General features: G+C 47.9%; 1 protein-coding gene across 8 annotated transcripts in view; it reads right to left on the bottom strand.

Annotated features, from left to right (window-relative positions):
• Window positions 1-436: 436 nt before the first annotated feature.
• ESYT3 (extended synaptotagmin 3) overlaps window positions 437-26,780 on the bottom strand; it is a 47,071-nt gene continuing 20,727 nt past the window's right edge. For 2 of the 8 annotated variants that reach the window (NM_031913.5, XM_017007307.2), the window contains exons 4-23: window positions 24,479-24,555; window positions 22,870-22,936; window positions 22,089-22,178; window positions 21,457-21,512; window positions 19,917-20,037; window positions 17,608-17,778; window positions 16,702-16,784; window positions 14,514-14,562; window positions 13,929-14,018; window positions 13,406-13,468; window positions 13,242-13,304; window positions 12,619-12,687; window positions 11,977-12,063; window positions 11,097-11,246; window positions 9,264-9,760; window positions 8,489-8,587; window positions 7,771-7,902; window positions 5,795-5,900; window positions 5,631-5,680; window positions 2,198-5,305 (exon numbers count right to left, since the gene is read on the bottom strand). In NM_031913.5, the coding sequence (NP_114119.2) occupies window positions 5,269-5,305; window positions 5,631-5,680; window positions 5,795-5,900; window positions 7,771-7,902; window positions 8,489-8,587; window positions 9,264-9,760; window positions 11,097-11,246; window positions 11,977-12,063; window positions 12,619-12,687; window positions 13,242-13,304; window positions 13,406-13,468; window positions 13,929-14,018; window positions 14,514-14,562; window positions 16,702-16,784; window positions 17,608-17,778; window positions 19,917-20,037; window positions 21,457-21,512; window positions 22,089-22,178; window positions 22,870-22,936; window positions 24,479-24,555 (2,157 nt within the window). In that variant the 3' untranslated portion in view covers window positions 2,198-5,268. Of the gene's footprint in view, window positions 5,306-5,630; window positions 5,681-5,794; window positions 5,901-7,770; window positions 7,903-8,488; window positions 8,588-9,029; window positions 9,761-11,096; window positions 11,247-11,969; window positions 12,688-13,237; window positions 13,305-13,405; window positions 13,469-13,928; window positions 14,019-14,513; window positions 14,563-16,701; window positions 16,785-17,607; window positions 17,779-19,916; window positions 20,038-21,456; window positions 21,513-22,088; window positions 22,179-22,869; window positions 22,937-24,478; window positions 24,556-26,780 lie in introns of those variants that run through there. The other 6 variants (NM_001322831.2, NM_001322834.2, NR_136409.2 and 3 more) reach the window with 6 other exon arrangements.

The following is a 26,780-nucleotide window of genomic DNA, read 5'->3' as shown; positions in this document are numbered from 1 at the left end:
GTAATTTGTAAAAGTTACTTATATATTCTGGACATGAGCACTTTGACAGCTATATGTGTTACAAATGTCTTCTTCCATTCTGTGACCTATCTTTCCATTTTCCCATAGTGTTTGTTTTTGTTTTCTTGTTTTTTTTTTTTTTTTGAGACATGCAGTGGCAGGATCTCGGCTCACTGCAACCTCCGCCTCCCGGGTTCAAGTGATTCTCCTGCCTCAGCCTCCTGAGTAGCTGGGACTACAGGCGCGTGCCACCATGCCCTGCTAATTTTTTGTATTTTTAGCAGAGGTGGAGTTTCACTGTGTTAGCCAGGATGGTCTCCATCTCCTGACCTCGTGATCCGCCTGCCTTGACCTCCCAAAGTGCTGGGATTACAGGTGTGAGCCACCGTGTCCGGCCCTCCCATAGTGTTTTTTTTGTTTGTTTTTTGTTTTTTGTTTTTTAAAGAGATGGGATCTCGGCCGGGCGTGGTGGCTCATGCCTGTAATCCCAGCACTTTGCGAGGCCGAGGCGGGCAGATCACGAGGTCAGGAGATCGAGACCATCTTGGCTAACACAGTGAAACCCTGTCTCTGCTAAAAATACAAAAAATTAGCCTGGCATGGTGGCATGTGCCTGTAGTCCCAGCTACTGAGGAGGCTGAGGCAGGAGAATCACTTGAACCCAGGAAGCAGAGGTTGCAGTGAGCTGAGATCATGCCACTGCACTCCAGCCTGGGTGACAGAGCGAGACTCCATCTCAAAAAAAAAAAGATGGGATCTCACTGTGTTGCCCAGGCTGGCCTTTGAACACCTGGGCTCAAGTGGTCCCTCCCACCTCGGCCTTCCAAGTAGTTGGGACTAAAAGTGTGTGCCACCGCACCAGCCTATAGTTTATTTTTATGAACAGAAGTACCTAATTTTCACGGAGAGATGTGTGGTCTTTTAGTTAGTGCTCTTTGCGTGTTATGAAATCTTGCCTTAGTCACAAGTTGTGAAATTATTCTCCTATATTATCTTACAGCTGTATAGTTTTGCTTTACACAGTCTAATATACCTGGAGTTGATTGATTTTTTAATGTGATATGAGTAAAGGACCATTTCGTATTTTCTCACATGAATATCCAATTGTCCCAGCACCTTTTATTGAAAAGTCTATCTTTTCCCTTTGTTCACAGTGCTACCTCTGTCATAAATTGAGTATATGTGAATGGGTCTGTTTCTGGGCTCTTTTCTGTTCTTTTGGCCCAGTTGGCTCCCTGCACTAGTACCATTCTGTCTTAGTTATTACAGCTTGAAAATGAACTTTGGCGTTGAGTAGGCGGCTTTCTACCTTTTGTAGTTCCATGTACATTGAATCTGCTTATCAAGTTACACACACAACCTGTTGATTTATTGGGCTTTCATTAAACATATAATTAATTTGGAGAGAAATGGCATTTGTTGGGTTTTCCAACCTCAAACGTGGCATAGCTCTCCATTTTAGGTTTAACATTTATTTAAAAAGTTTTAGTTTTCTTATAGGGGTTGTTGAATGTATTCATATAGATTGATATTTTTATGCACTTATTTTCTCTTAGGGAACAGAACTACAGTTTTTTTAACATTGTATCAAGCAAGCTTGCTGAAGACTTTCTGGTTAATTCTAGCAATTTAGATTATCTTGGATTTCATGCTCATGATCATATCATCTGCACATAGAAGTTTTGGTTAGATGTACCTATTTTTGCCCTATTATTACTCAGGCTGCAATACATTGTTGAACAGAAGTGGCAATAGGGAGCATCTGTTTCTTAATATATTGTTTGCTGCCATTAATATAAACAGAAATCTAAATGATTCTTGGATGGATCTTTTAATCTTTTTACTTTCAACATTTCTGTTTCATGTGAACCTCTTATAAACAGCATATAACTGCTTTTTACTTTTGACATTCTAGATTTTAATAGTGTTGTTTATTGTAATTACAAATATATTTAGACGTATCTTGACCATCTTTTGTATTGTCTACTATGTCTTTGCTTTCCCCTCCTACGTTTTGCAGGGTTGATTTTTCTTTATAACCTTTTCTTCTTCACTGCTAATTTGGAAGTTGTATATATCAACTTTATTGGCTTTCTGCTATTACTCTATTTTCATAGTTATCTTGCAATTTTGAATACATACTTAGGAGACAGAAACCACATTGCACAGGTAACCAAACATGAAAAACTTAACCACCTTTTACTAGTTAGCAATTCTTGTATTTACTACTAAACGGGGTAGAAGTGGACTCTAGGGGATACAGAATATCAACTTCAGGATGCAGATCCTTACCCCCAGGGGTAAGGGAGAGTGAACAAGAAAGGAAGTTAGAAACTAAGTGCCTCCCTACCAGGCTGAGATTTAGATTTCCGCTGGCAGCCATAGGACCATGCAACCCACTTGTGGCTAAGAAACTTGCCAAAAGGTGTTGCCTGCTGATAAAACATGAAGGCCATGAGCCAAGGGTAAACTGTGGGGGTACTTAGGTGATTGATTGAGAACAGCTCTGTATGCCAATTAGCTAGCAGCCATGGAAAACATCAGAAGAAAAGCCCCTTCTTCCTGCTATAGAGTGTCCTTCCATCGCCCCCTATTGGCAAAGCCAAACATCAGCCTGCCGGGAAAGCAGCAAAGGAGACAGACGTCAATTTGAAGCTGAGAGGTAATGAATTAGTGACTGACACAGTTATATTTTTAAGATGAGTATCTTTAGCTTCCTAAATAAGATATGGTCTTGAATACTTACTTTCTTAATCAGCCTAGCTGCCCCTTCTTAGTTGTTAGTACTAACATTTTAGTTCTACTATGTTTCTGAACCCTTGCAAAAATCTTTGGTTATTTGTTTATATCTTGTGAACAATCATCATCAAAACTTGCTTAGGTTTGCCAATGTATTTTATGGATTTCTTTGCTTTCCACTGCTTCTCACATGCTATTTCTGCCTTACTGGTACATTTTCCTTCTGGCTGAAATATTATCTATGGCTATTTTTCAGTTTGATATTCCTGTGTACTTTGTATTTTTTTTAAAGTCTGTTTTTGTTTTGTTTCATAATTTATTTTTGCCCGTGAGTTTCCCTTTAGTGACAGCCATCTGCTGCAGTTGTCGCATATGTGCCCTGGATGGGAGTGGCAACCCTGTGGGGCCAATTTTATGGTTGCCTCCATCAAGGCTTCACAGGCTTCCAGGTTCTAAACCAATATTCACATTCCGTCTTAGGTTTGGGGGTTTCTGTACCAAGATGATGTTAACTTCAGACCCTATGCTCCTGCATATTAGCTGATTGTTTCCACCCACTGCTGAAAACCAATTCTTGTCCTCAGTGGCAGCCAAGGTATTAACAACTTTTCAGGCTCCCTGCCCCTCACACAGCGCCTATATAACCTTGCCTCCTGTCTGCTGTGTACTAAAATTCTGGTTCCCTTCAACATTTTAACTCCTCTTCAGACCATCACCAGGTATTTACCTGTGTTGCCTGACACAGGTAAAAACGGTTCAATTGACCACGTTTAAAATAAATGTTTGTGGTTTAAGTTTGGAAGAAGAGGGGTAGGTTTTCACTTATCTGCCATTTTGATTAGCTGTTTTAGGGTTGCTAATGTTTCGATGTACATATGATACATTCCCTTATTTCTCTGGTGCTTCTCCATTTTCAAGGCACTTGTCTATTTAGGGGGCAATTAGAATGCCATCATAAGGTAGACAGGGTAGGCATCAATGCTCCATTTTATTATGAGAATTTGCCATTTAAAATAGAAACCTCAGCAGAAACGAATTTCACCATGCATCTTCTATGTACTTAACACGGTCTTGGATGGTGAGGGTGAAAAACAATTCAAGTAGCTTGAATTGTTCCCTACTGTTCAACTGGAGAATAAACAAAATTAAATACCAAATACAATATAAGTAGCTGCTTAGCATGTAACCTTAGCAGATGCCTAATCAACATTTCTTAAAACTTAGTGTTATAAAGGCTGGGAACTATTAAAATGGAAAATACTCAGTATCAACAGTAAATGCTACAGGCGGTAGGAAGAGTCCATTTCACTATGGATTGACTGACTTACTTAATAGAGGAAATAGGTTTGAGACATGACTTGAGTCAGCAGAGCATAGTATTTGGACTACTCTGGAATAGAACATCTGCATGTGAATCAGATGGCAGGAAACTGGAATAAGAGTAACATGACAAAACTTTGTTCTCGAATGTTGCCCTGCTTCAGAAAAGTGGCAGTGAAGGCAGAGGCAGAGACAGAAAACTGACGGCAGGTAGTGTTGGTGTTGGTAAGAGAGAAGAGGAGGTCCAGGAATGTTGGAGGGGATGAGAAGTATATTTGGTCTTGTAAAGTCTGAAATGTAAAAGAGGCGCTTGTTTAAGCATATAATTTAATACTTTGCTTTTAACATGTTATTTAGGTGAACCAACCATCTCTTTAGAAAAGTTGAATAGCCTAAACTTATCTGAAAGCTTCCTTTTCTCTGATGGTGACACTCTTCAGCAGTCTCCAGTGCTTTGCTATGAGAGTCAGACATAGACCTGGGCTTGGAACTTGGTTTGCATTTTCCTATGGAAATAATGCTACACGCTGGAGTTTGGCCCTTAGACTACACAAGAGTATTTAACTCAAGGTATTTAAGTATATCAGTATAACATTTTTGCCAGTAGGGAAATACATTTTTAGCTCCAGGTCAAATAAAAGAACAAATATCCAGGCATACAAGTACCACAGGTGGCAGCCAGAAGGGCTTTGGCAGTGTTAGCTCTTGGCAGTTTTGAGTTGGGTCACTTTCTATTTCCATAAAAAAGTGACTTCCCTTTGGCCAGTCACTGCCCAGGAATGCTGGTAGTGGCTCCAGAAACAGACCTCCCCCAGCCCCTATGCCAGAGGCAGGACACTTTCTGGTACATACATTCAGGTAAGTCCTAAATCAGATGGTATATAATTACCTACTAAAAAGTGGCACTTGTTTAAGTATATAAACACTGAGGTTTGGATAATTTAGTAGGCACAAATATAACATTTCTTTCTGGACTTGAACAAAAAAATCCAACCAAAAAAAGTAGTTCTTGCTTTTAAATAACCTCTTCCTTATGCTATTCAGTCATGGAGTTAAATTCCACACAAGAATTGTATGTATATAATTTCAAGTGGTTGTTCTGATTTAAATGACAAAATATACATATATTGGATGTAAGTGATCCAAAGGAAAAAATATATACATATATATACATTTTAATATAAAGGTGAGTGATAAGAATTCTCATCATCAGCTTCTGGGCTGTCCATTTGGAGTCAGCTCATACCTGTAAGACAGTTACGTTTGGACTTAACGTTAGTAATGACAGTGTGTTGTGGTAACAGGACAAACTGCCTAGTCCTGCCTGCCTGGGCCTCTGTAAGACCAGCAGAACCTGTCTCTCTGTAAGTTGGCCAGCCAGGGTTCAGGGTTAAGGCTAGAGTTTACAGGTGTCTTTTAGGGTATCAGTGAGATCTGCAGGCAGTAAAGCCTTAAATAAAGGTGTTCATCTCCCTCCCTTCTTGATAACCAAAGGAGCTGAAACAGTACTGAAAAGGGAAAACTGTCTTGAATAGCAGGATAACAGTGATAAAATGAAAGGGCACACTTACCATTGTGAAAAGCCCTTAATCAGATCTTCTTTTGATAAGTCAATCAGTACCTAAATAATCACAAATAATTAGTTCCCCTCCAAAACACTGCATTAAGGAAAGAAATTGGGATAAGGCGAATTGATCATAATCTCCTTGGTATATCAAATATCTCTTGTACTTACTTTTCCTAACTCCTTTCTTCTGTGTGAGCCAAGTGGCCTACTATTTTTCACTGCAACATCTAGTGACCTCTTCTTTACTTCTTCCATGGGAACAAAAAATTCAAATCTTTAGGAAGCAAAAAGGAAGTGAGAATTATGCATTTCATTCAGTTTTCTTGAAAATCTAAAGTGCTTCATCCATTTCCCTACTAAAACAGAAAGGTACAGACTATTAGGAGCACCTAGAGCAGGACTGGCTCATAACTACTCACGATGTATCATTATTACAAATAATCACTGTCCAGTGTTGTTCACAAAATCCAGAAGTATTAAGAGGCTGTTTGCCTAGAAGTGCCTCAGACTGCTGTGGCTTAGTTTGCATCTATCTTTCTCCAATTCTACCTTTGCTACCACTCTTCTTTTTGAGACGGAGTTTCGCTCTGTCGCCCAGGCTGGAGTGCAATGGCGCGATCTTGGCTCACCGCAACCTCTGCCTCCTGGGTTCAATCAATTCTGCCTCAGCCTCCCGAGTAGCTGGGATTACAGGCATGCACCACCACACCTGGCTAATTTTTTGTGTTTTTAGTAGAGACAGGGTTTCACCATGTTGGTCAGGCTGGTCTCAAACTCCCGACCTCAGATAATCTGCCTGCCGCAGCCTCCCAAAGTGCTGGGATTACAGGCGTGAGCCACCACACCTGCCCCTGGCTACCACTCTTTTAGCTGGCCCTCCTCACCCTGAACAGTACCTATTCACAGGACCACCTCAACCCCCTTCTCAGTTTTTTTCTTACCAGCTAAGGGCTAGAACACTGAGCAGTTAGGTTTGCTACAGTTGCATGGAAAACAGTGGCCACCTCCTATGGAGTAAGGCAGAGGAAACCTCTTACTTTTAGGTTTATTTTTAGGGTGGAGGCTGCCAACTCTGCCTTCCAGATAGTCCAGGCTTATCTTGCTGTCATACTTTTGAGAATTAGTAACAGATTTAGGTTTGTCACAAAAGTCAAAGTCAAATGTTAAACCTCTTCCCTCATATATTCCCACATAATTTTTTTTAATCCCTTAGCCACGTAGTAGCTACCACACCACAATTTTGACATCTTTTTATAATTATGTCAGAGCTCCCTTTGAAGGCAAAATCTCTTACTTGTGTGGCTCTAGAGTATAGGATGCTGCCTGGCATAAAGCATTCAGTAAATGTTGAATGAATAGTCTCTCTTCCTCATACCCTTTTCTTGATACTGATGAACTCAAAGTGTAGCTCTTGAAGGAACATAATAGTTCTTAGATATGGCCCAAAGAGGACTCAGTGTAACCCTTTTTAAAAAAGTTATTGGCCAGGAAAATTATGAGATGTAATATTTTCCTAAGCTGGCTAGAAATGTCTTTTTAGAACCCTGAAGCAGAAGGTACACGCTGATGAGATTCAGACTTCTAAGAATAAAAATATTTGGGATGAGACTTGCCACCACTGGCCCATCAAAAGCAATTAATGTGATTAGAGTCACCCTTGTCCCCAAGGACATAGGTGGACAAGCCTTTGTGGAGAAGGGGAGGGTATCTCCTCTACCCATCACCTATGTTTTGTTGCAGGAGGGAAGACAGGCCAAAGAGCTTCAAGCTTTAGAGGAAACTTTAGGTCCTCAGGCTCAAGGAATGTTTAACTGCTGGAATTAAAACAGATCAAAAAAATATTTGAACATTCAAATCTTTTTACTACCAGAGAGACTTCATTTAAACAGAAAGAGTAGGGAACATTCCATATTCAGGAACACTTTAGCCTCTATGAGCAGTAAATGTAGGTGGCCATTTTGATAAACTTCTCTGGCACTCCATTTTCCCCACTAACGTACAGAAGCTTCATGAAGTCATAGACTATGTTGTCTTGTTCAGCCATAGCCCCTTCCAGCATCTGGCAGGCTGCCAGGCAACATAACAGGTACTTGGAAAATACTTGAATGGGTGAGGCACTCTAGGCAGGCCACCAGCCCACTTACGTCTCATCAAACAGGGGTTCCAAGGTCTTCCGCTTCACTGAAGTCTTCTTACGACATGCCCACTTCCTTTCTGGCAACAAGTAGACACGGACGTAGGGATCAGCTCCACTGCTGGTACATGGTGTTAGGTTTCTGATTTGGTGTCAAAGACATTAGGAAAAAAAAAAAAGGGCCCTGGTTTTCAAACACTGAACATTTGAGAGTTTCAGTGTTTGAGAGTTTCAAACACTTCAAACATTTGAGAGAAGGCTATATTAGCCATTCAGCATTAGATACGCTTAAGGATAAAAATGCTCAGTGGTCCTGATGATCAAAAGTAATAGCCTGTAGAATTTAGAGGACAAAATATCAGATGAATGTTTTTGATAACACGCATCTTTATAATGCTTGGAGTAGAGCAAGTACTTTCCTTCTAAGGGAAGTTTGAGATTCTCACTTGGAAAATGTACTGGCTACCAGCCACTCCAGACAGTCTTGCAGTGGTTGCGTCTGAGCAAAGCCCTTGGCTCTTGAGCCCATCAGCATCACTGAAGAATGATGGCCAAAGTGCCCCTTTGAGGACTTGATTACAGTGTTCAGGCCTTCAAATCTCATTTTTCCCCCAAAGTGTTATTTATCTTGGGACTATGTGCCCTTTTCATTGCTCTGAGTGTCCCTACTCTGATTTATGGTCACCTGATGCTCCCAAAGGACCTCCCTGGCCCTAGAATCCCTTTACCTGCAGCCATTGATTAGCACGCTGAGGCAGCGCCGCAGACACACATAGCGCACTGTGAGCTGAATCTCACCCAGCTGCCGTCGCCTGAGGTCCCCACCTCTGTAAAGAAAGAGCCCATCACTTCTCTCGCCATAACAAGCATTGGCCCTCTTCCGCCACCCCCAAAGACAAAGAAGCATTCCTGCTTGAGGAGTATAGAGCCATGTAGGATAATAATTCACAGTGAGTTTACTTTCAGATGGAATTCAGTTCCATCCAGCATTCATGTATAATTATCCTACTTCATAGTAGGAAGAACGGGAACCCTGAAGTGGAATCTGCCTTTGTATCATGATTCCTTTTGGGACCTTGGATGAATTTATTAAACTTTTATGATAGTTCCATCTTGTAGGGTTATTGTGAAGGTTGAATTAAATCAGGTAACATGCTAAGCCCATAGTAAACCCTTCATAAATGACAGCCATTTATTACATAATTCTACATATTAAGCTTTCCATGTCATCCCAGTATAACTCAATGGTTCTGCTGGAAGGGACCTTACCAACCAGAGTCCAGCATCTATTTTATAGTCAGTACGCAGCTAGAGCCATAAACAGCCTGTTTGGCTCTCTCTCCCTTGTCCTGTGTTCTTTCTACCACACCATGCTGCCTCTTAGGAAGATATTTTGTGAAAAAACAACTTGCACAGAAATGTAAGTTCATATCTACTTTTCCATCCAGCGAGGTATTTTTCATACAGGCGATTTTAGAAAAGATTAAGCAGAGAGGTGCATACTCAATGTTGAGGCTGATATCTGCCAGGTCAAAGCAAGAAGAGGCCAAGGAGTTGAGCGAGGACATGCTGGGAGCCAGCCTCTTGGGCGGCCATGCGAATGGGGAGGCAGGGCATTTCATGGGTCTGGGTGACTTGATGGGCCCTGGAGAGTGGGGACCTGGGACAGTCAGGAAGATGGTGGCTGGACTCTTCTTCTCCCCGATGGGCTCACAGAACCTTTTGGCACTGTCCTTGCCTTTAGGCTCTGGGCCTGTCTCTTGGGATGTGGGCTCAGTGGCAACGGTGGTAGCACTGGTGGTGGTTGTGGTACTCCTGGATACGTCCTTAGTATCAGAAGCAGGGTCTGGGGGACATGGCAAATCTGTAGGGCCTTCTTCCTGAGGTTGGGCTTTGGGACCCTGGTTGGTAGCCACTTTCTTGATGAGCAGAGGGCCTTTCTTTAGGGCTTCAGGTCCTGTGTATGGGCTCCCCAGCTCTCGTTCCTCCACTTGCAGGAACTGCAAGCAGATAAGAGGGTGGCTTATGAGCTGAGTCACCACTTCCACAACCTCAGCCATTGTTTCCCGTTCCCCCTTTCCCCTCAGTTGTGAATTATAAAGACCCTTCCTAGGGAACTTCCATTTCCAGTAATACATATGGTGTTCCAAATATTCTGAAAAACTTGTTAGAAATGCCAAATAAAATGAAGCAAACATCCTTTGAAATGCATAGCCAAATTCACAAGAAAATAAGGATAATTCTGTTAAAAAAAGAAAAAATCTGAAAAATAAGTTAAGCTTTCCTAGGGTTGTATATCAACCTTGGAATTCAGGGAGTTAGAAGAGGCTGTGAGGCTAGGAGCTGAAGGGAAGACCCATGAAGGTGGGATCTCTTTAGTTAAAAAAGTAGTTTAGGATAAAAATTATTCGGCCTACCAGCAAAGACTGATGACAAGAACATGTGTTTGCCACAGCCTGTACTCTGGTTGAGGGGATAAAGTCTTTCCTAATAACATGGCACCTCATAGGCCTGTCCTCATATGAATTTTGAGTATAAATATGAGCTACCTATGGGATCTTGAAACCCAAAGTTAAGAAATATACACAAAAATGGACTCAAGTTTGTAATGCACCTGAGGTACTGAGCTGCAGCAAAAGCAGAAGCTCCTTGGAAGAGAACAACCTCGATCCAGGTCATAAAGGAACACTGAACATATGTTTGCAATCCAAGTTATAAAACAGAAATGAGTCACCATCAAAAAGCATCAACAGACAAAACAAACATCAAAATTTAACTCCCAAGATCTTCAAATAATAGAACATACATATTAATACATTGTAACATATTTTCAAATGACCAAAGATGGAATATAAACATGAGAAGATAATAAAATTCTATGAGAAAATACCAAATAGATTTGGAAAAGATAAAAATAGAAATGAAAAACCACCATTGAAAAAACTATGAACAGGTTAAACAGCAAACTAGGCATAGCCAAAGAATTAGTGGCCTGGAAGATAGCTCTTGAGAGAATTAGAATGTACCACCATGAATACAGAGAAGGGAAATATTTAGTTGAGGTCAAGAGACATGGAGGATAGATGAGAAGGTACATTATAGAAAATTCTAGAGAGAGGAATTTAAGAAGAATGGAGGAGAGGCAATATTTGAAGAGCCTGTATCTCTTTGAATATTGACTTGCTCCCATTCAGTATTTCAAAATTGATGAAAAACATGAATCCATCTCCTGGCTTCTTCCAGGCACACAGCAGGTGCTTAGTGCTGGGGCAGTACACCTTGCTCCATTGCCAGAGCTCTATTCCTCCCCTCCCCCAGGGGACCGGAGAGATTTACCCGAAGCACCAGCCTCATGGAGATGAGGCTGTCCAGGCCTGAGTGGTCCAGCTGAAAGCGCTGCTCAAGAGTGAGGTCAGCATAGGGGAGGATCTGGCACAGGGGGACCTCCAGCATTCCCAGAGCACACTCCTGGTCATCATCAAGCACCTGGGCAGTGGTCCAGTCACAAAACAAGAGGATAACCAAGCCCCACCACTCCACTACTAGTATCTGAGCCCCAGCCAAGTTTGGGTTTACTTCAGTCTGTACTGTGCTTCTATGGGCATCTGGTCCTATTCTGAAAACTAGAATGGGATCAGGCCAGACCTGGTCCTTGTCTTCTGTCAGGGAAGATAGTGACTCAGAGTAGAGGCAATTATGATCTGTATGAGCTAGTCTGTCAAATGCCCAGAGCCAGGGGGCTTTGGGGACTGATGAGCTGTGCTGCTCTCCAGGCAGGGCTCAGGGCCCTAAAAGATCCCAGCTCCACCACTTGTTGGTCATGAGATCTTGGACAAGACATTGTTTTTGCCTCTCTTTGCTTACTCTACAGATCTTTTGTGAAGATTAAATGAAACATATATTTTTTAAAGTACACCATTATTAATGTCCTGTGTAGATAGGCTGCTCTGGGTACTGTGTAGCAAATATAAAGACCCTTTTGCAGGGAAAGTCAAGGGACTTGAGGATTTATCCTCCCACATCCCCCTATACAGTGACCTCAGGCACTAGCCTTAAGGAGATGAGGCCTTGTGGGGCCTCAGTGTCCTCTCTTACATACAAGGGGCTGACTTTAAACGCTGCCAGGAGAACCTGCTCAAGGTGCACTTCAAGCTTCCCAGCCCGCCTGGCTTAAAAACCTCTTAACTCTGTTTCAAGAGCCCTTCTTCCATCAAACCTTCAGATGGAGCCGCTCAGTGGCCACATTGTGCACAAAGAAGGAGAACACCTGGCTCCACACAGGGTCCTTGTTGTGGGGACAGGTCTGGGAACAGAAGAGGGAGAGATCATTGAAGGGTTAGGTTGGGCAGAGCTGGATACCGGCACCCTCTGCTATCACTCTGGCCACCAGGTACCATTGGGAACCTTACCTATATGCCCTGGGATCAGACCCAAACACGCTACAGCTAGTGGGAGGCACTAGGACGGGACAACACTCAAAGGCAGGGAGTGGTTTGCCAGGAATTTTTACGGGGGAGCTGAAAATCATATTGGCCTTAGAGCTCACTTCAGGAGAGGAGAGGCCAACAGGATTTCTGCTGCTGGACTGAGAAAATTCATGATTGGTGGAAAGGACATGGGCTTCAGAACCATGCCCAAGCTTGAACCCTAGTTCTGTGTCCTTGGTCAAGTCATTTATCTCTGATCCTCAGATTCTTGAATTATAAAACTATTTTGTGAGGTTATTCTGAAGACTAAATAACATCAAGTGCCTACTAGGCATTCACCATAAGTTAATTCCCCTCCCTTTTGCCTCTCTCCCTGAGAAGGGCTGGGTCCTTGTTTCCTTACCCCAGGGCTACACACCAAGCTGTCTTACCTTACTTGTATGTGTCTTCTTGCCTACAGATAGTTTGACATAGGAAGAAGGGTCTTTGCTGACCTTGTTCTGTGAGGAATCAAATCCATAACAGTGAAGGTGGCATAGTCAATATCAGCTTGAGACAGTCCTACCCCCAACCCCCAGGAGCATCTGGGGGAACTGGGGCCACCCAGTTACTTCTCTTTGAGAGAAAGCTACTCTAATGCCCCAGTCCCCCTGGGCTGTCATTACTGTGCGAGCCCCAGGACAGGACCAACCCCAGAAAGCAGTTCCAAGTTAAAAGACCAGAAGCCAGAGCTGGGCCTGGCCAGGCACAGGCTCTCGTTCCCTGGGGCTATGAAAACAGTGTGGAATCTGGCTCCTCCTCTTAGCTGTGTGACCCAGAAAATGGTAATAAAAATGAATGACACAGTCATCATGAGACTCAGGGATAACAAATGTGGGGGATGAGTTGCCAAGCCTAGTGCCTGGCACACAGTAGACTCCACAATCAGCACCTCTTGTTATCCCCAGGCTGTGTGTGCACAGACTGTGGCCCAGAAGACATGGGGTTGTGGTTACTCTGGGGAGAGAAGCTGTGATTTGCCCTCCCTGGAGTTTTTAGCCACATACTCACTCACTCTGGCAAACCTGGAGAGTTTTTTGGCTCGATATTCACCATTCAGGTAGTCAAAAGGGTTTCTCTGCAGCACAGGAATAACGGGGTTAAAGCAACACAGGACAATTTGAAAGTGATGGGCACTTTGTTGCGTTTGTGTGACACTCTGGACATGTCGCCACTCACCGGCAAGTTGCAGGCACTCTCCAAGAAGACCACGAGAATGGCAGTGGAAAGGCCACCATGGTCCTGCAAACAGACACAGACCCTCACTGGGTACTCCCAGCAGCAGGACACAAAGACTGATTTTGGAGAAGCCTACTCATGGCAGAAGAAAGCCAGCTAGCCTTCACACTCCAGACTAGCTGCCGGAGGACCTCTCACAACCTAGCATTTTGTTGAGGTTAAGACTATAACTGGTGCATGACAGATTCAAGTTAGACACTGAGTGGATTTCCCTATGAACTGGGAGGACAGGCATTGACACAGAGTTCTAAGGACCCCATCATCTAAAGATGATGGAGATGCTCAGAGGACATTTGCTGAGAGCTATCAGGAGCTGCCCTGTGTGGAGACGGGCTGAGTGACATGTTCTTCAGGAGGTGAGCAAGAAGGGGGCATCATCTCCCACCCTTCCTCCACCTGCACACACCTGGCACGTGTGCTCCTCCACCTTTCTGCAAGGGAGCCCTTGACACCCCACACTCACCTCAGTCAGAACTTCTTGGTCAGTAAGCAATGAAAGCCACTCCAGCCGCAGGTGCAGCCGCCCGCTGGTTGTGTCATTCAGGACAAACCACTGTGGGGTAGGGGCAGAAAGCTCAGGGAAAAGGGCCAGGGAGATGCTACTGATGCTCTCTGGGCAGCCCAGTCCTGAGACCTGGCATCCTAGTAGGGACAGGGAAACCTGTCCTAGTATGGGAAAAGGTGGACCAGCCCAGACAGGGTATGCTCTGGGCTCAGAGGGACTGGGAGATGTGGTTATAGGAAGACAGAAGTGCTACACTGTGGGATTAAAAAAAACCCAGGCCCAGCCTGCCCTCCCCTATAATGTGACTGTCCCCTGCTGGGGTCCTTAATCTGTGGGTATTTCCCAGGGAAACTTCTTCCAGCTGGGGCCCTGGAGAATACCCTGGAGCCATCTGTGCCTCACCCAGCTCTTGCCCTGAGGATGGAGCCTAGCACAGAGGGGGACCACAGCATAGGAATAGCTGGGCTGAAGCAAGCTGCTGGAGCTGTCCACAGGAAAGGGCTACCTTGAAACTCCCCCGAGGGTTGCAAGCACCAACTGTACCTCATCCACCACTCTGTTGGTCATGACATCTCCAAGGCAGATCTGCAGGCTGGAATATACAGGGAGAGGGGATTGGGTCAGCTCAGAGGAAGAAAGCAGCAGAGGGCATGGAGGCCCACACTGGACTCTGTTTTCAGATATCTGAGTGCGGCCATTAAGACAGAGGATCTTACCCCAAGGAACCAATGGGAGACCACCATCAGCTCGAGTGAAGGAAAGACTAACTACCATCAGGGCTGCTCCCACTGGGTGTGCTACTTGGGGAGGAAGGGGGCTCCCATCCCCACAGGGGACAAGCAGAGGCTGCTGGACACATCACCTCTGGATTTCTCAGTGACAGTGCGACTAGCATTTTGGGTGGGATGATTCTTCATTGTGCAAAACTACCCATGCATTGCAGAAATTTGGCCTCCTGGTCCTGTACCCTTTAAATGCCAGAAGAACCACCTCTCACAGTCATGTCAATAACCCCAAATGCCCCTTCATTTCCAAATCTACCCCAGGTGCCCTACAAGGGAAAGTATAGTTGGCATGTGATGTAGTTTGGATGTCTGTCCCCTCCAAATCTCATGTTGAAATGTGATCCCCATACGTTAAAGGTGGGCGGGGCCTAGTGAGAGGTGTTTGGGTCATGGGGGCAGATCCCTCATGAATGGCTTGGTGCCCTCCCCACAGTAATGAGCTCATGCAAGATCTGGTTGTTAAAAAGAAGCGGGGACATCCTCACTCCTGTTGCTCCCTTCTCTCTTGCCATGTGACATACCTGATCCCTCTTCACCTTCTGCCCTGAGTAAATGCTGGCACTATGCTTCATGTACAGCCTGCAGAACCATGAGCCAGAAAACTCTCTTTTCTTTATAAATTACCTGGCCTCTGGTATCCTTTATAGCAATAAAATATGGACTAACACAGCATGTGTGTGTGAGAGGAGGTAACACCCACACCTCAGCTTGCCCCTAACTCACCCTGAGCCAAGCCCAACCAGAAGGTCCTGACAGCCAGAGGGGAAAATGTAATTCTATATAACTGTAAGAAACATGCTTAAGCTCAAAACACACCTGAAATCAGTTACTAATACATAAAGCATGACCCACAAGCCACACTTCTAATCTGCAACATTACAAAAATTGCAACTGTTTTCATTAAGATAAAAATAAAAAATGATAAGCAACATCTGGTGGTGAATCTATGTGTATTAACATCCAGGCTAATAATACACATAGATTCTGCTTGTTTCTGAAACTGTCAGATTGTGCCCCCTCCCAGTTTGTTTTGTTTCTACTTTTCAAAATTACATGATCTTGGAAACAAGCTAAACAACACAGCAATCTGAAGATTTGGGTAAACCTGCCTTTTCTGCTTCCTCATCTGAGATAAGCGGTGTTAACAGCCTGCCTTTCTCTGCTAACATGAACACATGCAAAAATACGCATTCAAGGTTCCTCTCCCAGATGATGACTCAAATGACATGTTATGCCCAGCTGCTCTCCCCCACTTCATAATGGGTGTCCTCCAGGTTAATACACAGAGATTCCACTTGTTTTTCAGAGCTGCAGAATATTCTGTAGTTTGGCAATGGAAAATGTATTCAAACATTCAGCCAGTGTTCTCTGAGGTTAGATATTCATTTAGGGGATGGGGGTGTTCTTTTTCTTCTATGGATAGTTCTGCAATAAACATTTCAGATACTAGGGCTTTTATTTTATAGGAGATCCTGGAAGTGGGACTGCTGGACCAAAATACATGTAAGTTTTAAATTTTGATAGCCAGCCCCACCCTGATCATTTTAGTCCTCTCATACCCCTGAAGGGCTGGGTTCTACCCCCTAGAGCATGGCCCAGGGTTCCTTGGGACTGAGCATCTGGCCATCCATGCCAGCCTTGTCTACTACTCCAAATGGGGACTTGGTATATTATCAGGAAGACAGAAAGCAAAGCCGTAATATACAAATCTTGGGGTCCTCTCTGTACCCCCCAGGGCCTAGGTCAGGGCTGGGCACTTGGGAGACATCTGGGAAGGTTTGTGGTAGGAATGTAGAATGGTGAGGCAGGTTGCCTGGCACAGTCACTATGTCAGGGTGACCACAGCGGGTTGCTAGTCATTAAGTGGTAGGAGCAGGGTATCTAGCCCAGCACCCCGCAGGGAGGGAAGGCTGCCTCCAGGCCCAGCTGTGCGCCCTCCTCCTCACCTGCCCAGGAAGTCATCCCTGTCGGTATCCTCATCATACAGGTCTACCTCCAGGTCCTGTCCAGGGACTTCGTACACCATGAACTGGAAGGAAAAAGAGGTGTCTTGACCTGCAGGCAACAGTCGACCTGACATATGACCCAAAGGGAGCCAAATCATGGCTCAGAACGCTAGCAGGTTCCTGACCCCCTCAGTGCCTCAAGAACCCCACCCATAAGAAGGGAGTGAAGCCCCTCCCCTTCGGGGGGAAGAGAAGATTAGAGAAAACATGTGCAAGCCATGGCAGAGCAGGTGCCCAGGGGACAGTGGCTGTTTGTTCTGCATGGGCCATGCGGTGTCCTGAGCACCTGTTCGTTACATTCTCCTGGCCCCTCCGTGAGTCTACAATATCAGGAAGCCCCAAGCTGCCTTTTAGCACCCCTGCTTTCACTGCCTCACCCCAAACGTAACAGAGCATCCAGATGGTATATTGAGAGGAGAAGTTGAGAGGGGTCACCTAAGATGTGGCTCCTGGAGCGTGTAATCTGGGGGGCTTAACAGGCTGTGGGTCCCACCCTTCAAATAGTAGGGATTGTGGTTGAACTTAAGGAATAACTTCAGGCTCCTGATGTTTGGCTCTGACAGGGGAAGCTGAGAAGAGTGGAGCAGAAATGCCTCTAAGGCTCTTTCTCTTTGATTTGTTAACTTCTAACAAAGTTGGAAGGGGAAAGGAGGTAGGAATTTGCCTTCAGGCTGGCCCTTTAGTCGGGCCAGAGTAACCCAGTCTGGAAGCCTGGTAGATACAGGAGCAGGAATTCCACAGACCTGCCTGTCTCCAAGGCCCACTCCCTGCCTAGTGTTGCCCCTGGATTGCCTCTGCCCAGCATGACTCAGAGTGAAGGCTAGAAGCAGCCAAGGAGACCCTTACCTCAAACACTTCGTTCCAGGTGGGGTTCAGGTTCCTGTAGATGGTCCTACTCCGGAAATGCTGTAGGCCGATGCTCACCTTGGCGTAGGGATCTGACTTGCCTCGGAGCCCCAGAAAGTTGTCCTTCTGGGCCAGCTGCTCTGCCTCCAGCAAGTGCACTCTGATCACCCCCTGGAAAATGTCCAAGCCCAGGGCTCACAGCTGCTTCCTGGGGCCTCCAAGTCCTGGAGTATCAGAGCTAAAACCATCAGAGATCACTGCTGCCCCCATATTGCCCCCTCCACGGTCTGGACCAGGAGATAGAAGCCAGATACGGCAGTGACCTGGCCAAGGCCACACAGCAAGTGATGGCAGGGCTCTCTCCATCAGTATGCCCTGCCCACAGCCCTGGCCTCCACACTCCCTGCCTCCAAACTGCCACATGAATGGCTTATTCAACTGCAGCTATCTGTCTCCCTCCTGTGCCAACAATCATGACACCTAAGGAAGCTTCCTCCTTTACTCCAGACCCCTCTGTTGTGTGTCCTACATGTAGACTCCAACAAGGGAGTCCTAGCATCCCTTCTCCTGGCCCCTGTGGGCACTGCCAGCTGCTGACAGTAGGTACCTGCACTCCTAAAGGCCCCAACACTGAGCCTCATCCCCACCACATTCTGGACTGTACTACAGGGCAGACCCCCTCCCTACACTTGCATGAATAGATGTTTAAAAGGAAATGAAAGAGATATAACTCTGTTAATAAAGACTGGAGCACAGGAATTAGGAAAGGCATAGTTCATGGGTTTTGAGATATATCTCCTTCCTAGAATTTTTTTAACATTAGTAAATACACATGCATTTACTCTTTGACCCAGAAATCCCATTTCTAGGAATCTATCCCAAGGGCATACTAGCAAAAATATAAAAAGACATGTATGCAAGGCTATTCATTACACTACTATTTGTAATAGTGAAAGACCCAACACAACATAATGGTCCATCAATAGGAACTGTGTTGAATAAACTTCAGTACATTCCCATAGTGAAGTACTTTGGAGCTCTTAAAAAGAATGTGGAAGATCTCTAATCTACACTGTCATAGCATGATCCTCATGACATACTCAGTGTTAAAAGCACACTGGGGGCCAGGCACAGTGCTCACGCCTGTAATTCCAGCACTTTGGGAGGCCAAAGTGGGTGGATCACCTGAGGTCAGAAGTTCGAGACCAGCCTCGCCAACATGGTGAAACCCGGTCTCTACTAAAAATACAAAAATTAGCCAGGCTTGGTGGTGTGCCCCTGTAGTCCCAGCTACTCAGAAGGCTGAGGCTGGAGAATCACTTGAACCTAGGAGACAGAGGTTGCAGTAAGCCAAGATCACGCCACTGCATTTCAGCCTGGGCCACAGAGCAAGACTCCCCGCCACCACCTCCCTTCACACCCACCGCCCAAAAAAAAGCATGCTGGGGAAAACTCTACTATGCTGCCATCTATCGAAGAAAGGGGGAATTTGAATATAAGCAAATATGTGTCATACGACCATATATATGTATTTGTTCATATTAAGTAACAAAGGACAGGTGTGGTGGCTCATGCCTGTAATCCCAGCACTTTGGGAGGCTGAGGCGGGCAGATCACTTGAGCCCAGGAGTTTGAGACCAGCCTGGCCAACGTGGCAAAACTCTGTCTCTACAAAAAATACAAAAATTAGCCAGGCGTGGTAGTGCACGCCTGTAGTCCCAGCTACTCGGAAAGCTGAGGTAGGAGGATTGCTTGAGCCCAGGAGGTGGAGGCTGCAGTGAGCTGTGATTGTGCCACTGCACTCCAGCCTGGCTAGGCAACAGAGCAAGACCCAATCAATCAATAAAATGGAAGGATAAACCATGACTTATAAGTGAAGGGTGGGGAGTAGGTGGAGGGAACAAGGGATAGAAGCCAGACTCCTTAAAATGTAATTTGTTTTTTAATTGGACTTTGGAAATGTACAACTACTTTACATAATTGTAAAAGGAAGTTAAGGTATAAAACCCTAAAAATGGAGACCAGAATGAAACAAGTCAATGTAAATATTCATGGTCAGTTGTCACAAACAGAGGAAATATTCCAAGTAAGTTTAGAATGCAGTAAATTTGACACTACCTCCCAAGTGGGATACACCCCAAGGACAAAATGTCTTTAGTAATTATGACGTGGGCGATGGTGTTTGTACCATTTTTCTGGGACTGTCAAGCATTAGTGTGAAATAAAGCCAATGCACCACATGTGAAGGCTGAGAGGATATTTGCGCTGCCTCCCAGCAGGCTGGTCTGTGGCTAGTACTGGGTACTCACACAGGGCAGAGGGAAGCGCAGGTTGGTCAGATCCAGCCCCTTCTTCACAGGCACAGTCACACGGTTGGGCAGCACCAGGTGGGTGGCAATGAGGTCCTCCAGTAAGCTGTCTGACACATCACTGGACACAAGGCAGGACCAGCTGTGGAGGGGTGGCACTGCCTCCCCCATGCCACCTGCCACTCCATCCCTAGCAGGAACCAGGAGCCCAGATTGGTAGGGTGGGCCCCACCTAGAGAACAGCCCTGACCCCACTTGCCTGGGTAGGGGTGGGTGTGCCTATACATCGTGACAGCCCCTGACATTCTATCTCAACAGCAGTCCTCCCACCTACACGTCCCCAACTCCCTCTGCCTCCAGGCTACTTTGTTCTTGGAGGTCACACAGCACAGTGGCTAAGAGCAAGGCTGAAGCCTGTGTTAGAATCTCAGCTCCACCATCGACTAGCTGTGTAGCCTTGGCAAGTCGCTAACCTCTCTGGACCTCAGCATCCTCACCTCTAACCTGGAGCTAATAATGCGTATTCCTGGGGTTGTTTGTTCATTGCCTGACTCCACCTCCTGATACCGGGGGACAGGGATGGTGCCTGGAACAGGGCTGGCACGGTGTAAATACTTTTTGAATAAAAGAATGCATGCCTGGATTCCCTTTGTCCAGTGTGGGTGAGATCCATGCAGATGTCAGTGAATGAGCGAGTCAGCAGCCCTCCCCTGAGTCTGATGAGCCAGCTGGTGCCAGCCCTGACCAGTCCAAATGTCCCTTCCTCCTGGGGAGGTGTGTCCAGTGGGGCTGGTGCCTTTCTCTGCTCCTCTCATGGGGCCTGGGGCTCTGAGAGCAGCCTTCACTTGCCCCCAGATGGTGAGATCTCCAGGACCAGCTACTCCTCACTGGCCTCTGTTGTGACAGTGCCCCTTCCATGCCTATGTTTGTGACCACGGTCAGGGGAAGTCACATCGGCTTCTCACCACACACTTGGTTTGGAAGGGGTGCAGTGAGGAAGAAAGGACACTCGTGTGTCCACACCCAATGTGCCACCACCACACAGCTGAGTGTCCTCCGAGGGACCCAAGGCAGAGGAACCAGGCTCCCCTTTTACTGAGGAAGAGCCCAGAGAAGTGAAGCAACTTCTCCACATTCACTCAGTTGCTCAGTGACAGAGCCAGGAGCTGGCTGCCTCTGGTTCCAGAGCCACACAGCCTCCCCTCAGACCACATCTCAGCAGACAGAGCCACTCTCCCCCTGCACCAGGACGGGGACCTGAACGTCAGCCCAACACTCAGCAAAGCACTTCTTGCCCACTACATGGGTGTGGTGTGTGGTGTGTGTGTGTGGTGTGGGCGGGGGGTGTGCTGGGCACAGTGCCCACCCACAGAGGCCACACAACACCCTTAGCCTCCCACTCCAAACAGACCAATGCTTCTCCCTCTGCAGAGAGCACCAGGAGGGAAAGCACCACCATTGCACAGCTCCTGTCACTGGCTGCAGAGCCCTGGAGGCCCCCAAACTTATGATCTCCCTCGAGGCTCTCCCAGGCACCTACTTGATTCCCGGCGCATCCAGCAGGTTGGTCAGGCCAGTCCAGTTGATCTGTAGGTGCTTCAGGGGCAGAGGGAAGCTATTAGGCTGGAAAGGGTTGGGAGCCCAGGGCTGAGAACCCCCTGCCAAGAGCCTCACACCCATGTGAATGGAGAACCCAGCCTTCCAGGGTGGGGGTTCGGAGGAAAGCAGGCAGAGCACCCTCTGCCAGGGTGTCAGGCAGGCGAGGCCACCCCCCAGCCCAGCTCAGGCATCTAGCGGTATCGAGGGCCCAGGCCTCAGCTCAGGATGGGGCAGGGGCTGTGGAACCTGCTGCTTCCCAGGCAGAACCCCTACAGGAGTAGGATCGTCCACATGGCCACAGGCTGGCCTGGACTTTGAAAGCTCTGAGTTTGAGCCTCGGCTCCAATTCAGACCATCTGTGTGACCTTCTCTGAGCTTAGCTGCCTCATCTTAGGGAGGGCAGAGTCTAACTCGAGCTGTCTTAAGGATTAAATGAGATAAGGAGTGTGACTGCCCAGGTCTCAGTGGGCTGGGACAATGTCCATTCTTGGACTCAAACCCAATGTCTAGGGCCCAGCAGACCAGTGCCTACTCCCAGGGAGCAGCAGGCTTACCGCAGTCCTTGGGACTCACCGGCTTCTGAAGGAAGAACACAGTCACGGCTCCCACAAAGGGCTTGTCCACTAGGAGGGGCTCCAGGATGACCCGCAGGGTGCCCTGCAACTGGATAGGCACAGAGGGCCCGTGAGGGGCCCAGGCCTACTTTCTCCCCATGCCTGCTGGGCTCAGCTGAGGCCATCTGCTGCCTCATTTCATGCCCACGCTGCCCCACATGTCAGGGCCACCTGCCCCAAGCTGCCTGCTCTCACAGCAGGAACCGTACTTAAGGTGCTGAGGCCTGGACACAGCTGCCACCTCTTGCCAGCTACCAAGGGGCCCTGAGCTGGCCCCACTGCCTTCCACGGGTGTGCTGGCCTGAGAGACCTATAGCCTTTGCCAAGTTTTGGGCTGGCCCAGCCAGCAGGAACCCAGGAATGATTTCCAGGCCCAAATCAGCTCTTCTACTCCTGCCGAGAGTTATTTTCACCTCCTGGGTCCACCTCAGTCTCTAAGCAATGGCTTTCCATCGCTCCATGAACACCATCTCTCTCCTCGCCAGGCAGCCAAAGCCTCTCCCAGGGCCTTTGCAGTCAGATGAGGCTGGGGTCTCTAGAGCACAGTAGTGGGTTGGTGAAGCCCAGCCACCACTTCCTGGCCATGTGACCTCAGGCCTACAGCTCCTCCGTAGTCACCATCCTCTGTGTTTAGTGTTGCCACCACCTTCTGCGGCCTACTCTGGCATGACCTGGCTTCCCCTTCCCTGATCCCCACCCTGGGGGCTGGAACAGAGGCAGCCCCACCGGGCTCCACCCACCTGGATCCCGTTCACACCAGCCTGAATCTTCTGCAGCTCCACACTGATCTCACAGTCCCCGATGTAGCTGAAATGGGGGGTGGAAAAGGAAGGTGGGGAGGAGGGGTAGGTCCACTTGCTCAGAAAGGTTGGGAAACTTGCCCAGTGTCACACAGCCGGAGCCCAGGCAGCCAGTTGCCGACCCTGAGCTCTATGCACTGGGCACATGGCCTAGTAGCCTCAGCCTTTCTCAGCTCTGCTCAGACCTGACCCAGACCCTGATCCAAGCCCAGACCCCAGGAGGCAGCCCCTGTGGGTCCCTGCATTCAGGTATCCCAGGCATATCCTCATCTCTGACCATGAGAGCAGTGATTCCAGGCACTCACCTCACCCCACGATACCCTGAAGATGAAAAGGAGGGGCTCTTGGTAAACACGCTGCCCACTTTTCCACCCCTGCTGTCCCCCTGTCCCATCTCTGCCCAGGTGTCTTTCATGGGGACACAGAAGCAGCCCCCACTGCTTACATCCCAGGTGCTGCTGGGGCTGGTGGAGGTGGGCAAAGGTAACAAGGCGTCAGGCTTCAGCACAGAAGCCCAAGTCCACCCAGTGGCTCTCGCCAGGTGATGGGCACAGGGAGCCCAGAATGGGTGCCCTTGAGGGTAAAGATCAGCAGATCCTGTGAAAGCACTGAAGGAGACTCAGGGAAGGGAGAGGGGCAGCCAGCACACATGTGCAGGGCACAGGCAGAGGAGCCCAATGTCACAAATCGCAAAAACCGAGTGCCTCTTGAAAGGGCAGGAGTGAGCCAGACGGGGAAGATGGGGACCCCGGGGGCTGCCTGGGCAGCTGAGTGGGCCACACAACCTCGATGTGCCCTGACTATTCCTACAAGGACCTTGTGGCAGCGCCCCAGGGGCTGGGAGCACCTGATAGCCTGTCACCATCCCAACCCACTTGGGACCAGCCCCTAAATGGGGATGGGCGGTCCGAAGAACTAGCTCCTATCTTCCCAACATGCTGTCAGTGCCAGCCTCTAGGCTAAGGGCAGAATGAGACATGGGAAAGGAATGGCAACACTCTGGATCCTCAGGAGTTGGTCCTTTGTCTTTTAAAGTGCAATTCAAATCTTGCCACTTCCAGGAAGGCTTCCTGGACTGAATCTCCCTCCTTCCTGACTCACACCCATTATGAACCTCATTTCAAAGAGATATCCTTGCCCAACCCCCTGAACTAGTCACTTATGTGTCTTTGCATTCTCTATTTTCCTGAGGTGCCGCAGAGCCCAGGTCTCCAGCTGACCTCTCACAGCCTGTGCTTGGAACTCCCTGGGCCTCACCAATGGACTTCACATCTTCTTATCACACTTGCTCCCACTAGACACATCCTCTCTGAGGCAGCTGGTCTGACTCTCCAAGTGACCCAGGTCTAGCCTTCCAAGAAAGCTCTGCTGCCTGGGCCTTGGAACCCAGAGTATGCCAGGGGATGGGAGAAGCTGGGAGGAGGGGAGGGTCCTGTGAGGGGTTCCACATCCCAAGTCAGAGTATATATATACTACTCCATCTTCAAACTGGCTGTTCCCACTGTGTCCCCTGCACCCCGAAGCCCATACCCAGCCCGATAGAGCTCACCAGATCTGCAGGTCCACAGTCACACGTCTTCGGTTGCACGTATTAGTGTGTGCCTTGACACCGTTGACCCTGGGACACTGGAAGAAATGCCAAAAGGGCTAGGTCAGAGGCTTCTTGTAGCAGGGGACAGCTGCCAGCTCTCCCCCCGGCACTGGGCTTTGTCAGCAACGAGCATGACCACCATACTTCCAAGACGAGGCACAGACATGTAAATCTATCCTGCAGCCCAGAGACTTCCCTCCCTAGAATGTGCCCCCTCCTTTCTCTCCCTTCCTGCCCCTACTCACACAGCCACACAGAGTGGCCCTGAGGCCAGGCCTGTTGTTCATGCCCCATAGCAAACTCTGGAAGTGGGTCCTTTCCCTTTACACGTGAGGAAACTGGAGCTTACAGAAGTCAAGTCACTGGCCCCACAGCACAGGGTGGAGCTGGGCATAGGCACAGGAACTGGAGGAAGCTGGCAATACTCACAGGGGTGAATGAATGCTTATGGCAGCTGAAAAACATTTTTTTAAATGTTCATGGGTGTGTGAAGAAAGGGGGTGTGGTGAGCGCACTAGGTCCTGGCCAAGCCCAGGAGGGTCGTGTGAGGAGTCCTCTGTGACCCCACGATGGTCAGGAGGGGACATGGGAATGGGAGAGCAGAGGGAGGGGGGTGGCCAGGACATGAAGAGTGCTGAATGCCAGGATCAGGAGGCAGGTGTTTCTCCTGCAGGGCTGGGACATCTGTTCAGCCTGCAGCTTCCCCCTCCAGGTTCTTCTGATATGGTAAATATCATTTCTTAGGATTGCTTGCCAGCAGTGCTACATCCCATAGACCAACGGTCCCCAATCTTTTTGCCACCAGGGACCAGTTTCTTGGAAGACAATTTTCCCACAGACCGGGGGTGGGGTGGGAAATGGTTTTGGGATGAAACTTTTCCACCTCAGATCATCAGGCATTAGCTTCTCATAAGGAACATGCAACCTAGATCCCTCACATGCGCAGTTCACACAGGGTTTGTGCTCCTATAAGAATTTAATGCCGCTGCTGATCTGACAGGAGGCGGAGCTCCGGCAGCTCCCGGCTGCTGACCTCCTGGTGTGTAGCCTGGTACCGAGAGTTGGGGACCTCTGGCATAGAGACAACCACCAGAGGAGCAGCCTGACTGAGCAGGCTCTGCTGTGAACACAGCACCCTGCAAGCTTCTTGGCTCCTAGCCTGCTGAATTCTTCAAAAGCCAACTGAGCCATCACCTTTTCCTGGAAGTCTTCCCTGACTCCCACAGCCCCTCCACCCCTCCATTTCTGAACTTGCATTCCTCTGCCATCATGCACGCAGATACTGCCACGTTGTCATCCACCAGTTGATGTGTTCCTCCCACAGGAAGGGGTGCAGCCACACCCAACTCTATGATGCCCAGCACACAGCACGTGCTCAATAAGTCACAGGTGAATGAAACAAGAAATGAATGCATGAACCAACAGATGCTGGCACAAGCCAGTTTGAATGGCAGAAATCCCAATCTCCAGGGCTCAGGCCTGCCTAATCCACCCCTGCCCAGGGGCTAGCCAGGAAGGGCTGGCAGACAGCTCTCTCAGCAGGCTGGCCTATACTTGGACACCTGCTCGTTGCTGGGAAGACCGGATGCCAGTGCCTCTCATTTACTGGGTCACAGTGGTCTCTGGCTGAGGGATACATTTTGGATGATCAAAAGATTCAAGTCACTAGGGGCACTTCGAGGCAGGAGGCGTAGGGCACCAAGGCTGAAACAGGAAGCCCAGTCTAGAACAGGGACCATGACATTAGGTGTGCTGACACAAACTTCATTGGCCACAGACCATTTCATCCTGGGACACCTGCTGATCTTCACAGAACTAGCATGGACTTGTAACACTGAGTGCCATAACAGCCAATTAGTGGAGAATATAAAGCGCTAGGCGGCACTGACTATCCAAACTGTGAGCGTGTGTTCACCGGCTCTGAGGTTAGCAACTATGATTTCCATCTTTGTATCTGTCTGGCTACCACCATGGCGTGTCTTCAAAGTTTTCCTTAAGAAAAGTGGAAATATCTCCCACCTCTCCTTTCTGTTCCCTCTGAGCCAGGCTTCCTTGGAACCTGGGGAGATGATGGTACAGGGATGTGGGGGAAGGGTGTCTACTGAGGCTGACAGGCTGGGAAATGCAGGTGGTGGCGGGAGGGTGTCCCCCTGTAAGGTCCAGTGGGATCTCTGCAGTCATATGACTGACCTGGGTGGGAGAAAGGTGGGAGGAGAGGGAACAGAGAGAAGACTGCACAGCCAGTCCAGGCTGACCCTCC

Source organism: Homo sapiens, chromosome 3 (assembly GCF_000001405.40).
Source record: "Homo sapiens chromosome 3, GRCh38.p14 Primary Assembly".
Classification (NCBI taxonomy): domain Eukaryota; kingdom Metazoa; phylum Chordata; class Mammalia; order Primates; family Hominidae; genus Homo; species Homo sapiens.
The sequence above is the reverse complement of the archived record's forward strand: the minus strand, read 5'-3'. Positions and strand labels throughout refer to the sequence as shown.